Source organism: Homo sapiens, chromosome 16 (assembly GCF_000001405.40).
Source record: "Homo sapiens chromosome 16, GRCh38.p14 Primary Assembly".
In the NCBI taxonomy this organism is placed as follows: Eukaryota; Metazoa; Chordata; class Mammalia; order Primates; family Hominidae; genus Homo; species Homo sapiens.
Window position 1 is genome coordinate 9669756 of NC_000016.10, and position 12380 is coordinate 9682135.

At 46.3% G+C, this 12380-nt stretch overlaps 7 annotated features.

Annotated features, from left to right (window-relative positions):
* Nucleotides 487–1266: an enhancer, noted in NCBI's record as "OCT4-NANOG-H3K27ac hESC enhancer chr16:9764099-9764878 (GRCh37/hg19 assembly coordinates)". NCBI's record gives its function as "activates a minimal SCP1, AML or CMV promoter by ChIP-STARR-seq in naive and primed H9 embryonic stem cells {active_cell/tissue: H9 hESC(naive and primed)}" and the evidence as "EXISTENCE:reporter gene assay evidence [ECO:0000049][PMID:30033119]".
* Nucleotides 4193–4758: an enhancer, noted in NCBI's record as "H3K27ac-H3K4me1 hESC enhancer chr16:9767805-9768370 (GRCh37/hg19 assembly coordinates)". NCBI's record gives its function as "activates a minimal SCP1, AML or CMV promoter by ChIP-STARR-seq in naive and primed H9 embryonic stem cells {active_cell/tissue: H9 hESC(naive and primed)}" and the evidence as "EXISTENCE:reporter gene assay evidence [ECO:0000049][PMID:30033119]".
* Nucleotides 4759–5324: an enhancer, noted in NCBI's record as "H3K27ac-H3K4me1 hESC enhancer chr16:9768371-9768936 (GRCh37/hg19 assembly coordinates)". NCBI's record gives its function as "activates a minimal SCP1, AML or CMV promoter by ChIP-STARR-seq in primed H9 embryonic stem cells {active_cell/tissue: H9 hESC(primed)}" and the evidence as "EXISTENCE:reporter gene assay evidence [ECO:0000049][PMID:30033119]".
* Nucleotides 7022–7586: an enhancer, noted in NCBI's record as "OCT4-NANOG-H3K27ac-H3K4me1 hESC enhancer chr16:9770634-9771198 (GRCh37/hg19 assembly coordinates)". NCBI's record gives its function as "activates a minimal SCP1, AML or CMV promoter by ChIP-STARR-seq in naive and primed H9 embryonic stem cells {active_cell/tissue: H9 hESC(naive and primed)}" and the evidence as "EXISTENCE:reporter gene assay evidence [ECO:0000049][PMID:30033119]".
* Nucleotides 7587–8152: an enhancer, noted in NCBI's record as "OCT4-NANOG-H3K27ac hESC enhancer chr16:9771199-9771764 (GRCh37/hg19 assembly coordinates)". NCBI's record gives its function as "activates a minimal SCP1, AML or CMV promoter by ChIP-STARR-seq in primed H9 embryonic stem cells {active_cell/tissue: H9 hESC(primed)}" and the evidence as "EXISTENCE:reporter gene assay evidence [ECO:0000049][PMID:30033119]".
* Nucleotides 10311–11238: an enhancer, noted in NCBI's record as "NANOG-H3K27ac-H3K4me1 hESC enhancer chr16:9773923-9774850 (GRCh37/hg19 assembly coordinates)". NCBI's record gives its function as "activates a minimal SCP1, AML or CMV promoter by ChIP-STARR-seq in naive H9 embryonic stem cells {active_cell/tissue: H9 hESC(naive)}" and the evidence as "EXISTENCE:reporter gene assay evidence [ECO:0000049][PMID:30033119]".
* Nucleotides 11239–12166: an enhancer, noted in NCBI's record as "NANOG-H3K27ac-H3K4me1 hESC enhancer chr16:9774851-9775778 (GRCh37/hg19 assembly coordinates)". NCBI's record gives its function as "activates a minimal SCP1, AML or CMV promoter by ChIP-STARR-seq in naive H9 embryonic stem cells {active_cell/tissue: H9 hESC(naive)}" and the evidence as "EXISTENCE:reporter gene assay evidence [ECO:0000049][PMID:30033119]".

A 12380-nucleotide genomic window follows, 5' to 3' on the forward strand; every position in this document is an offset into this window, starting at 1 on the left:
GTCTTCCCAGGCAAAATCAATGTCCTATTACCAGAAGAAAGAAAAATTGTTGCTGGGCAGGCAGAAAATAATACATGTGCTCTACAACCTTTTGCAATACAAATGTTAAAATTACTACATCAATCTTTTGAAACTCATTAGTCCTTGAGCTGGGTTATTTAGGGCATAATTCCAGCAAAGTGAGAGCTCTTGGGATAAAAGGTACATGGTAAGTGACTCTCTTCATTTCAATCTGTTTCTAACTCCATGTCCTGGTCTCTCTGCCCCACCAGAAGCCATTGGGTCAGCTAAAACACAACGTTTGTCTCTATAAGCCCGAGGCCTCTGCTTCTAACTTCTCACAACTCTCCCCTCACATTAGCATTCATGAACTCAAACTGTCAGAGACTCAGATAATTAGAGGCGATGAACAAATGCTAATTAGCACTCTGGCTGTACCCAGAGGATGCCGCAGGCATAGACCTAAGCCCAATGTTTGTGTTTCCAGGATTCCTTGAATTCCCACATCTAAGAACCCTTTATGAAGCTTCTTTATGAAAGAGAGAACACAGAGATAGTGTAGCATTTGGTTAAAGGCATGGCCCTTTCACTTTCACAGACTTGGAGCTCAACCCCAGCGCTGCCACTTAGGAGTGCTGTGACTATAGGGAAGTTACTTAACCTGTCTGAACCTCAGTTTTTTCATCCATAAAATGAGAACAAGAATAACCTCTACCTTAATATGTTTTCATTATGTGAGTCAAACGATGAATGCAATGTGTACAGTACTTGGTTTCATGTGTGTCCGTGTGAAGAGACCACCAAACAGGCTTTGTGTGAGCAATAAAGCTTTTAATCACCTGGGTGCAGGTGGGCTGAGTCCGAAAAGAGAGTCAGTGAAGGGAGATAGGGGTGGGGCCATTTTATAAGATTTGGGTGGGTAAAGCAAAATTACAGTCAAAGGGGGTTTGTTCTCTGGTGGGCAGGAGTGGGGGTCATAAAGTGCTCAGTGGGGGAGCTTTTTGAGCCAGGATGAGCCAGGAAAAGGACTTTCACAAAGTAATGTCATCATTTAAGGCAAGGACCGGCCATTTACATTTCTTTTGTGGTGGAATGTCATCAGTTAAGGCGGGGCAGGGCATTTCACTTCTTTTGTGATTCTTCAGTTACTTCAGGCCATCTGGGCATATACGTGCAAGTCACAGGGGATGCGATGGCTTGGCTTGGGCTCAGAGGCCTGACATTCCTACCTTCTTATATTAATAAGAAAAATAAAACAAAATAGTGTTGAAGTGTGGGGGCGGCGAAAATGTTTGGGGGGTGGTATGGAGAGAGAGAATGGGCGATGTTTCTCAGGGCTGCTTTGAGCGGGATTGGGGCGGCGTGGGAACCTAGAGTGAGAGAGATTAAGCTGAAGGAACATTTCGTGGTAAGGGGTGATATTGTGGGGTTTTTGGAAGAAACATTTGTCGTGTAGAATTATTGGTGATGGCCTGGATACGGTTTTGTATAAATTGAAAAACTAAATGGAATAAGAGAAGGAGAAAAACAGGTATAAAAGGTCTAAGAATTGGGAGGACCCAGGACATCTGATTAGAGAGTGCCTAAGGAGATTCAGCATAGTCCTGCCAGCAAAGATTATTTATTTACTTCAAGAATTTAGAGTGGCAGTTTGGGGATAGCACCAGGAGATATCAGCTGTGATGGCTTGGAGAAACAGTGTAAACAAGAGCAGGGCATGTATGAGTAGTTGAGAACGGTGAATAGTACTATGACTAGACAGAAGATGGTAGGGATGACAAGTTTTTTGGGGCACAGTCTAAGTTGGTCTGGCGTCTGGAATGAGACTGGGGCCTAATAAAAGGGAGCGTCTATACAGGAGCTTAAATGGGCTGTACCTTGTAGCATTCTGAGGACAGGCCTGAATTCTGAGAAGCGAAAGTGGTAAAAGTATTGTCCAGTCCTTTTTAAGTTGGTGGCTGAGCTTGGTGAGTTGTGTTTTTAAAAGACCATTAGTGTGTTCTACCTTTCCTGAAGACTGAGGACTGTAAGGGATATAAAGGTTTCACTGAATACTAAGAGCCTGAAAAGCTGCTTGGCTGATTTGACTAATAAAGGCTGGTCCGTTATCAGACTGTATAGAGGTGGGAAGGCTAAACTGAGGAATTATGTCTGACAGAAGGGAAGAAATGACTGCGGTGGCCTTCTCAGACCCTGTAGGAAAGGCCTCTATCCATCCAGTGAAAGTGTCTACCCAGACTAAGAGATATTTTAGTTTTCTGACTGGAGACATGTGAGTAAAGTCAATTTGCCAGTCCTGGGTAGGGACAAATCCCCGAGCTTGATGTGTAGGAAAGGGAGGAGGCCTAAACAATCCATGAGGGGTAGTAGAATAGCAGATGGAACACTGAGAAGTGATCTCCTTGAGGATAGATTTCCATGATGGAAAGGAAATGAGACGTTCTAAGAGACGGGCTAGCAGCTTGTAACCTACATGGAAGAAGTTATGAAATGACAACAGAATAGAATGGACCTGTGAGGCTGGCAGGAGATATATTCCTTGGTCTAAGAACTATTTGCCTTGTGTGGGAAGAGATTGATAGGTGGAAGTTTCAGCAGGGGAGTAGGTGGGAGTGACCAATGTGAAGGAGAAAAACTGGCCGTGAGGGACAGAAGTTGGAGAGCTAGCTGCTTGTCTAGCCACCTTATCAGCATAAGCGTTGCCTAGAGCAATGGGATCTGATGCCTTTTGATGCCCCTTGCAGTGAATGACCCCAGCTTCCTTTGGAAGTAAAGCGGCCTTGAGTAGAGTTTTTATTAAAGAGGCATTAATGATGGAGGACCCTTGTGTAGTGAGAAAACCTCTTTCAGCCCATATGACCGCATGGTGGTGCAGAATATGAAAGGCATATTTAGAATCAGTATAGATATTGACGCGTAGTCCTTTGCAAGAGTGAGAGCTTGAGTTAAGGCAACTAGTTCGGCTTGCTGAGAGGTAGTGGAGGGGGGCAGAGTGGTAGCCTCAATGATAGATGTGGAAGATACTATAGCATAGCCTGCCTTTGCTGGTGAGTGGCGATTAGGCCTGGTGGAACTGCCATCAATAAACCAAGTGTGATCAGGGTGAGAAACAGGGAAGAAGGAAATGTGGGGAAATGGGGTGAACATCAGGTGGATCAGAGAGATGCAGTCATGAGGGTCAGGTGTGGTATCCGGAATAATGTGGGAGGCCGGATTGAAGTCCGGGCCAGGAACAATGGTAATTGTGGGAGACTCAACAAAGAGTGAATACAGCTGAAGGAGCCGGGAAGCAGAAAGCATATGCGTCAGGTATGAGTAAGAAAATAGATTTTGGAAGTTATGAGAACTGTAGAGAGTGAGTTGAGTATAGTTTGTGATTTTGAGGGCCTCTAAAAGTATTAAAGCAGCGGCAGCCACTGCACGCAGACATGAGGACTAGGCTAAAACAGTAAGGTCAAGTTGTTTGGACAGAAAGGCTACAGGGTGTGGTCCTGGCTCTTGTGTAAGAATTCTGACCACGCTAACCATGCCTAGGAAGGAAAGGAGTTGTTGTTTTGTAGAAGGTGCTGGGGTTTGAGAGATCAGTCGGACACGATTGGCAGGGAGAGCACGTGTGTTTTTATGAGAATTATGCCGAGATAGGTAACAGATGAGGAAGAAATTTGGGCTTGACTGAGGTAATGGGGGCTGTCTGTGAAGCTTTGCGGCAGTACAGCCCAGGTAATTTGCTGAGCTTGATGGGTGTCAGGGTCAGTCCAAGTGAAAGTGAAGAGAGGCTGGGATTAAGGGTGCAAAGGAATAGTAAAGAAAGCATGTTTGAGATCCAGAACAGAATAATGGGTTGTAGAGGCAGGTAGTGAGGATAGGAGAGTATACGGGTTTGGCACCACAGGGTGGATAGGCAAAACAATTTGACTGATAAGGCACAGATCCTGAACTAACCTGTAAGGCTTGTCTGGTTTTAGGACGGGTGAAATGGGGGAATTGTAAGGAGAGTTTATAGGTTTTAGAAGCCTATGCTGTAGCAGGCGAGTGATAACAGGCTTTAATCCTTTTAAAGCATGCTGTGGGATGGGATCTTGGCATTGCGCGGGGTAAGGGTGATTAGGTTTTAATGGGATGGTAAGGGGTGCATGATCGGTCACTAAGGAGGGAGTAGTAGTAGTCTTATACTTGTGAGTCTTATACTTGTCTTATACTTGTGAGTTAAGGTGGGGAGATATAAGGGGAGGATGTGAAGGAGGCTTTGAACTGGGGGAAAAGGTGGCAGTGAGGTGCAGCTGTAGCCTAGAATAGTCAGGGAAGCAGATAATTTAGTTAAAGTGTCTCAGCCTAATAAGGGAACTGGGCAGGTGGGGATAACTAAAAGGGAGTGCTTAAAAGAGTAATGTCTAAATTGGCACCAGAGTTGGGGAGTTTTAAGAGGTTTAGAAGCCTGGCCGTCAATACCCACAGCAGTTATGGAGGCAAGGGAAACAGGCCCTTGAAAAGAAGGTAATGTGGAGTGGGTAGCCTCCGTATTGATTAAGAAGGGGACGGACTTACCCTCCACTGTGAGAGTTATCCAGAGCATCTGTGATGGTTCTGTTGGCTTCTGAGGCGATTGGGCGGTGTCAGTCTTCTGCTGCTAAGCCGAGAAGATCTGGGAAGGAGTCAGTCAGAGAGCCTTGGGCCAGAGTCCCAGCGACTCTGGCAGTGGCTGCCAGGTGAGTTGAACAGTCCGATTTTCAGTGGGGTCCCACACAGATGGGACGTGGCTTAGAAGGAATCCCGGGCTGCGGGCATTCCTTGGCCTGGTGGCTAGATTTCTGGCACTTGTAGCAATCTCCTGGGGGAGGAGGTTCTGGAGGAACGCCTGGCTGCTGCGGTTCAGGCGTTTGGAAGTTCTCGTGTGCTGGAGATGTGGCTGGGGTTTGTCTCACAGTGGAGGCAAGTAATTGTAACTCAGAAATGCATTGCCGTCTGGCTGCTTCCTCTCTATTATTGTACACGTTGAAGGCAAGGTTGATTAATTCCTGTTGTGGGGTTTGAGGGCCAGATTCTAATTTTTGAAGTTTTTTCCTAATGTCAGGAGTGGATTGGGTGATAAAATGCATACTAAGAATAAGGCGGCCTTCTGGCCCCTCTGGGTCTAGGGTGGTATAGCATCTAATGGTTGCTGCTAAGCGGGCCATGAACTGGGCTGGGTTTTCATCTTTACCTTGGGTAGTTTTTTTAAGTTTGTCATAATTAACAGCTTTGTAAGCTGCTTTTTTAAGCCCTTCAACTAGGCAGGAAACCATGTAATCTCACCTAGCTATACCTGGGGAATTTGCCTGGTAGTTCCACTGGGGGATCCTCTCGGGGAACTGCTCTAATGCCTTCCTGGAGGTCTGGCTCATGAAGCCGACGGTTATCAGCGTGAGATTGGGATACAGGAAAAACTCTTTCCCGTTCATCTGGGGAGAGGGTAGAAGTCAGGATGACATTTAGGTCACTCCAGGTTAAGTTGTAGGACAGAGTTAGATATCGGAATTCCTGTATATATTTAGTGGGGTCTGATGAGAAAGAGCCTAAATGCTGACTGATCTGAGAGAGGTCTGATAGAGAAAAAGGTACATGTGCGTTGACTATGCCTTCAGCTCCAGCCACCTCTCTAAGAGGAAATTGTTGGGCAGGTGGGGAAGAGCTAGTTGCGGAACTAAACTGTAAGCCGGACCGGGTGTGAGGAGGGGAGGTGGTAGGAGGATTATAGGGTGGAGGAGTGGAGGCTGAGGAAGAATTGGGACTTAGCTCGGCCTGGCGATGAGCAGGCTGGGGAGGAGGGGAAAGGTCAGATGGGTCTGTAGAAAAGGAAGACTGGAAAGACTCAGCGACACTTGGGGTTGGGACTGCGGGGACAGGCGGGAGGGAAAGAAGGAGGATCTGGGAGGAATCGCATTGGGAACAGAGGCTAGGGATGGAACGAAGTGTGAAAAATGCCTGGACGTAAGATACCTCAGACCATTTGCCCATTTTTCGACAAAAATTATTTAGGTCTTGTAGGATGGAGAAATCAAAAATGCCGTTTTCTGGCCATTTAGAGCTATTGTCAAGTTTGTATTGGGGCCAAGCAGTGTTGCAGAAGAAAATAAGGCATTTAGGTTTTAGGTCAGGTGTGAGTTGACGAGGTTTTAAGTTCTTGAGGACACAGGCTAAAGGAGAAGGAGAAATGGAGGGTGGAAGGTTGCCCATAGTGAAGGAGGCAAACCCAGAGAAAAGAGAGCGTAGAGACACGGAGGGAAGGGGTTCGGGGGTTCTTACCCTCCAGAAAAGCAGGAAGGGGGGTCGGGGCATGGAAATAAGGGATTGGGGCACAGAGATAAGAGGTTGGGGTGTGGAAATAAGGGATTGGGGCACAGAGATAAGAGGTCTGGGTGTGGAAATAAGGGATTGGGGTGCAGAGATAAGGTTGGGGTGCAGAAATAAGGGATTGGGGGTTCTTGCCCCGTAGAAAAGCGGGACTTGCTGCTAAGGGTGAAGGAGAAGGGGTTGAGGGGTACTTGCCCCTCCCCCAGAAAAGCAGAGAAGGGGTAGAGACAAGGAGAGAAGGAGTTTGGGTACTTGCCCCTTCCTCAGAAAAGCAAGACTTGCCACTAAGGGTGAAGGACCAAGGCAGGCGTCCCTGCGTGGTCTGACACCTCTGAAACGTGGGTGAATGATCAGAGAGGCGTCCCTGCAATGATGAAACACCAAGGGAAGGCTGCCTTCCCAGTCCGTGACGGGCACCGGAGTTTTGGGTCCACGGATAAAACGTGTCTCCTTTGTCTCTACCAGAAAATGAAAGGAATTGAAATCAAGAGAAGGGAGAGATTGAAGTGTGGCACCAAGATTGAAAGGAGAAAGAGGTTGAGGGATAGTGAGGGAGGTTGGAGAAGACAGTAAAAAGAGGCCGCTTACAGGATTTGAAATTGGTGAGATGTTTCTTGGGCTGGTTGGTCTGAGGACCTGAGGTCGTAGGTGGATCTTCCTCATGGAGCAAAAAACAGGAGGACAGGGGATTGATCTCCCAAGGGAGGTCCCCCGATACGAGTCACCGCACCAAATTTCATGTGTGTCCATGTGAAGAGACCACCAAACAGGCTTTGTGTGAGCAATAAAGCTTTTAATCACCTGGGTGCAGGTGGGCTGAGTCCGAAAAGAGAGTCAGCAAAGGGAGATAGGGGTGGGGCCATTTTATAAGATTTGGGTAGGTAAAGCAAAATTACAGTCAAAGGGGGTTTGTTTTCTGGCGGGTAGGAGTGGGGGTCGCAAGGTGCTCAGTGGGCAGGAGTGGGGGTCGCAAGGTGCTCAGTGGGGGTGCTTTTTGAGCCAGGATGAGCCAGGAAAAGGACTTTCACAAGGTAATGTCATCACTTAAGGCAAGGACTGGCCATTTACATTTCTTTTGTGGTGGAATGTCATCAGTTAAGGCGGGGCAGGGCATTTTCACTTCTTTTGTGATTCTTCAGTTACTTCAGGCCATCTGGGCATATACGTGCAAGTCACAGGGGATACGATGGCTTGGCTTGGGCTCAGAGGCCTGACACTTGGGACATGATAAGTGTTTAATAAATAAGTTTTCCTCTGAATTTGTGTTATAGGGAAGGGGGAATAATAGGAGGTCAAACACGAAAGATTGGAGTGTAGATTCCTTTCTGTTTTATGCATTCCCATCACTGCTATTGGGCTTAATGGCCAGAGCAGGAGGAGGACAGAGGGAGAGAGAGAGAGTGGGGAGGGGCTACACACTTTTAAACAAGCAGATCTTGAGTGAGCAGTTACTCACTATCACGAGAGCAGCACCCAGGGGGAAATCTGCCCTCATGATCCAATTGCTTCCCACAAGGCCCCAATATTGGGGATTACAATTCAACATGAGATTTGGGGGCCGGGTGGGGGTGGGGGGACACAGATCCAAACCATATCATCATCCTTATATCCATAATAGCACTGATCATCTAGCAGATAGTTAGCACTGATCATCTAGCAGATAGTTAGCACTTAAAAACAAAATGTTAGAAAGCCCAAGTTGAAAAAAATATAATAGTTCCAATGTTCAAAAAGAAGACACAGTCCGGGCCGGTGGCTCACGCCTGTAGTCTCAGCACTTTGGGAGGCCGAAGTGGGGGTCAGGAGTTTCAGAACAGCCTGGCCAACATGGTGAAACCCAGTCTCTACTAAAAATACCAAAATTAGCCAGGCATGGTGGTGTGCACCTGTAGTCCCAGCTACTCAGGAGGCTGAGGCAGGAGAGCTGCTTGAACCCGGGAGGCGGAGGTTGCAGTGAGCTGAAATCACACCACTGCACTCCAGCCTGGGAGACAGGGGAAGACTCCATCTCAAAAAATGAAATAAAATAAGATAAAGTAAAAAAGAAGATACAATCCTTATAATATACTGGAGGAGAAAAAAATTTTCATCTACTCTTAAGTGTGTCCCCCATAGCCTGCTATTACGTCTCATATTTCTGCCATTAGCATGATCCATTGGGGTCCTTAGACTTGGATCTGTAACAGCCCGTGGCATTGGACTGCCTCAGCTGGAAAGAGATTTGCCAATGTACCCTTTACTCATTTAGCCTGCTACCACTATCACTGCTCAATTCAACCAGGCTTTGCTAGATTCATGGTGGACATTATATTTGAAGTGAGGTGTAGGATCGGAGGTTGACCCAATCCTTAAAGAACTTATAAAGAAATTTTAGAAAAATTTCTAAATAGCGGGCAGGACCTGGAGAATGGGATAGAAGACTGATAAGTTTGGAAGGAAGAAATAATAATAACAGACAATAATGATAAACTGTTTTCTGGGTACCCAGCTGCACAAACATCAATCTGTGAGGTTTAATCCTTAAAATAGCCCTTGCAAGGGCTGGAAATGAGAATCCCGTTTTATAATAGATTGGAAAGGATTTCCGTTGCTCCAGCACTAGATGGGTCCTGGTAGGAGGTATTATCAGGACTTAAATAATGGAGAAGCAAGAGGACAGAGAAAATGACACCATTCAAGTTTTCCAGGAGATGGTTCTGTTATTAATCCTGACTCTGTCACCACTAGCTGTGTGACTGTCAGAAACTTGCTTGACGTCCCTGTGCCCAAGAGCCCTTGGCTGTAAGAGTGGTCTTATGAGTACTTCTCCCAAGGGGAGAGGCACAAGGTGGGTCCCCAGCATCATTGTTTCCCCTTTTCCTTCCTTTTCTCAAAGTGAGAAGAGCAGCAGCAGAAGCACAGACACTGAACAGTATCCCTGCTAAAAATTAAGAAAATCATGAATGAATGGAAAATGACTTTTAAAATTCACCTTTAAGCCAATGTTCAAGTAATGTTTAAGTCATTTTCTGGGCCAACCAATAGCACTGATTAGAATTGGGAATGGAAGGCAGAAAGTTTTATAAAACACAAACTATTTAACTCTATTAAAAACCCCTATGTTCCTTTTTTTTTTATGCAGAGAAATTAAGTCCAACAGTTGGACGTTAATACATGATCAAAGCTGGGCTCCAGCAACTTGGGGTATTGGAATTGAAAACTTTGCAAACTGCAGAAAGTTTACACCGCAGCAAAGCCATTCTTCTCGCCTCTAGCAACACACAAGTATGTGTGCATGATTGTTTGGGGACTTGGCAGCAAAGAGCAGTGGAAATAATTCTTTGGAAACGAAGAGAATCAGCAAAACATGAGGGAAAAAAAACAGACAAAAGAAGAGAGCAAACAGAACAAGAGAAAGACGTTTGGGGATGGGTCGATTTTCTCTGCCTCATGCGGTTTTGGTGGCTTGCAGTAAATGAGTTTCTAATGATGTTTTTATAGAGCTGTTTTTATTTAGTGAGGCTGACACAGCTCCTGTTGCTTCTTGTGCTGTGTCCTGGGGAACCAGATGAAAGCAGGAGGGAGAAGTCTTGAAGCTGGGGTTGCTGGTCTCCTTGTCCTTTTGGGAAGGACCCCGGCCATTAACTCTTCGCTTTGCCACTCCCTGCATCGAGCATTCAATGAGTCCGTACTACATGCCCACAACTCTGACCTTTGAGTATCACAGTCTTATGTGGGAGAGAAACACAGACAGTGATAACTCTGTGATAATTCTGATACAGGGGCTAGAAAGAAATTATTCAGGCAGATAGTGAGGGTAAAGGAGTCCTCAGGAAGGCTTCCCTTTTAACAAAATGCAGCCCCCAAATCATTTCTTTTCTACCAAAGAGCAGCCTGAAAAATCAAGCTGCAAATATGCAAGCTGGAACCTGGCATAGGTGAATGCCGGCAGCTGGACCAATAGGAAAGGGCTACCTGGGAGCCAGGTGTGTTCAATATGGAGTCTCTATCTCCCCTTTTCTTTGTCACCATGTGTACAGTAAAAAAGCAGGCAGCATGGCACTGGCGAGGCAGAGAACCCACCTGCATAATAAAATATAAGGGTGAGTGGCCAGCTTCTTCACACACTATGCAAATGACACACCCAGTCTTAATCAGTTCTTCGCATGCTATGCAAATTGCACACCTGGTCTGACCAATCTTTTATGCCCTATGTAAATCAGAGACCACCTTCTCAGGCTTATCTATAAAACCTCCTGCACTTCACCACGGGGCTGGAGGACCGGCTCGGGACCCCCTCTCTCTGCAGGAGAGAGCTTTTCTCTTTCTTTCGCCTATTAAACCTCCACTCTTAACCTCACTCCTTCTATGTCTGTGTTCCTGATTTCCCTGGCATGGGAAACGTCCCCACCTTTGAGAGGAAAAGGCAAGAGAAGACTTCTTGGAGGAGGTGATGCCTGTACTGAGTCTTGAAGAATGAGCAGGAGAACTCAGGAAAAGAAGGCACAACAGGGCTTTGAGGCTTTGGAGCCTCAAAAGGGCTTTGAAGGGAAGGTGTGAGCAGAGAACTGCCAGAAAGCACATTTTAGTCCAGAGACGTTCAAGTCATTGGATTTAAGTGGAGAATTTCAGAGGCAAGTGATGGGAGATGATAATGACAACCCTATTGAGAGCACTTACTGTGTGCCAAGGGTTTTCTATCAGGGGTGATTTTGTGTCTCCTCCAGGGGATATTTGCCAATATCTGGAGACATTTCTGGTTGTCACAGCTGTGGTAGGAGGGAATGCTACTGTCATCTAGGGGTAAAGGTCAGGGATGCTTCTAAACATCCCACAGTGCACAGGACTCTTCCTCTCCCAGGGCCAATGGTGCTGAGCTGGAGAAGCTGTGCTATGTGTACACCTTGGGCCGATCACCTTATAAACTTGAAACCACTTTATCCTCATAACTCTGTGAGATAGTGGTTTCAGCCCTTGTCTCAGACAAGGAAAATGAGGCTCTGACAGGCTAAGCCACTTAAAATCAAAGAGCTAGCAAGAGACAGTGTGGATTTGAACTCAGCCAGCCAATCTCCAGCTCCCTGACATTAATGACTGCAGGAGAGAAATCCATTGTCCATGTGGTGAAGGTTTTTAGATGCTAAGTTACAAAGTTTGGGCTTATACGTGTTGTGCAACAGCAACACCTGAATATCTTTCATCTGCAGATTTTTCATTTCCTCATTCACTGGGCACTTTCACCCAAAGAACCAAATATTGGAGTCAAATTAAATTCCTGTCTGTAAGCAGAAAGACAAAGCAAAGGATTTTCCAATGCACTCATCATATTATCTCCCTGTCTTTCCATGTCAGAGAAGCTCTGGCCTACTATTAAATACAATTGCAAGAACAACTGACCTGGTTTATTCCGAAACAGGCGTATAATATAATGAAGTCTCCTCATATGGCTTCTGATTTTCCCTCCTCTGCAGTAGGAATGCCGAACCCTCGCGTGGCCTGTTCTTAAGTGACTTCCTTGAAACTCTAATCATGTGCACGATTCCTCTGCAGTTCCATGTGGAGGTGCAGTATTCTCAACGCATGCTTGTCAGTTCTAGTTTTCCTCTGAAAGAAGGCACAGAGGCCGGCTTCCCTGAGCTTCATGGGCTGCTGCAGGGCAGAGAAGCGGAAGCTGGCCTCGGCCTCACAGCAGCAGAGTGGAGCTATGTGTTTGCAAGCAGACCTCAGAAAACCGGAGCTTAAGAAAGTGATCACCTCTGGCTGCAGCCCTTAACTGGGTGCTGACTACAGACTACAGAACAGGACCAGCACATGCTGACACATCCCTAGGTTTCCCCACAGCCAGTGAGGCAGGAAATAACCAACCCATTGTACAGAGGAGAGGAGGAAGCCAAAGCTCAAAGAACCCGAGTCGTAAACTGCAGAGCAGGACTTCAAACCCAGATGCTTAGCACAATGTGTAATGAGATAATAACTTGTTTGTTTTTTTTGAGATGGAGTTTCGCTCTGTTGCCCAGGCTGGAGTGTAGTGGTATGATCTTGGCTCATTGCAACCACTGCCTCCCGGGTTC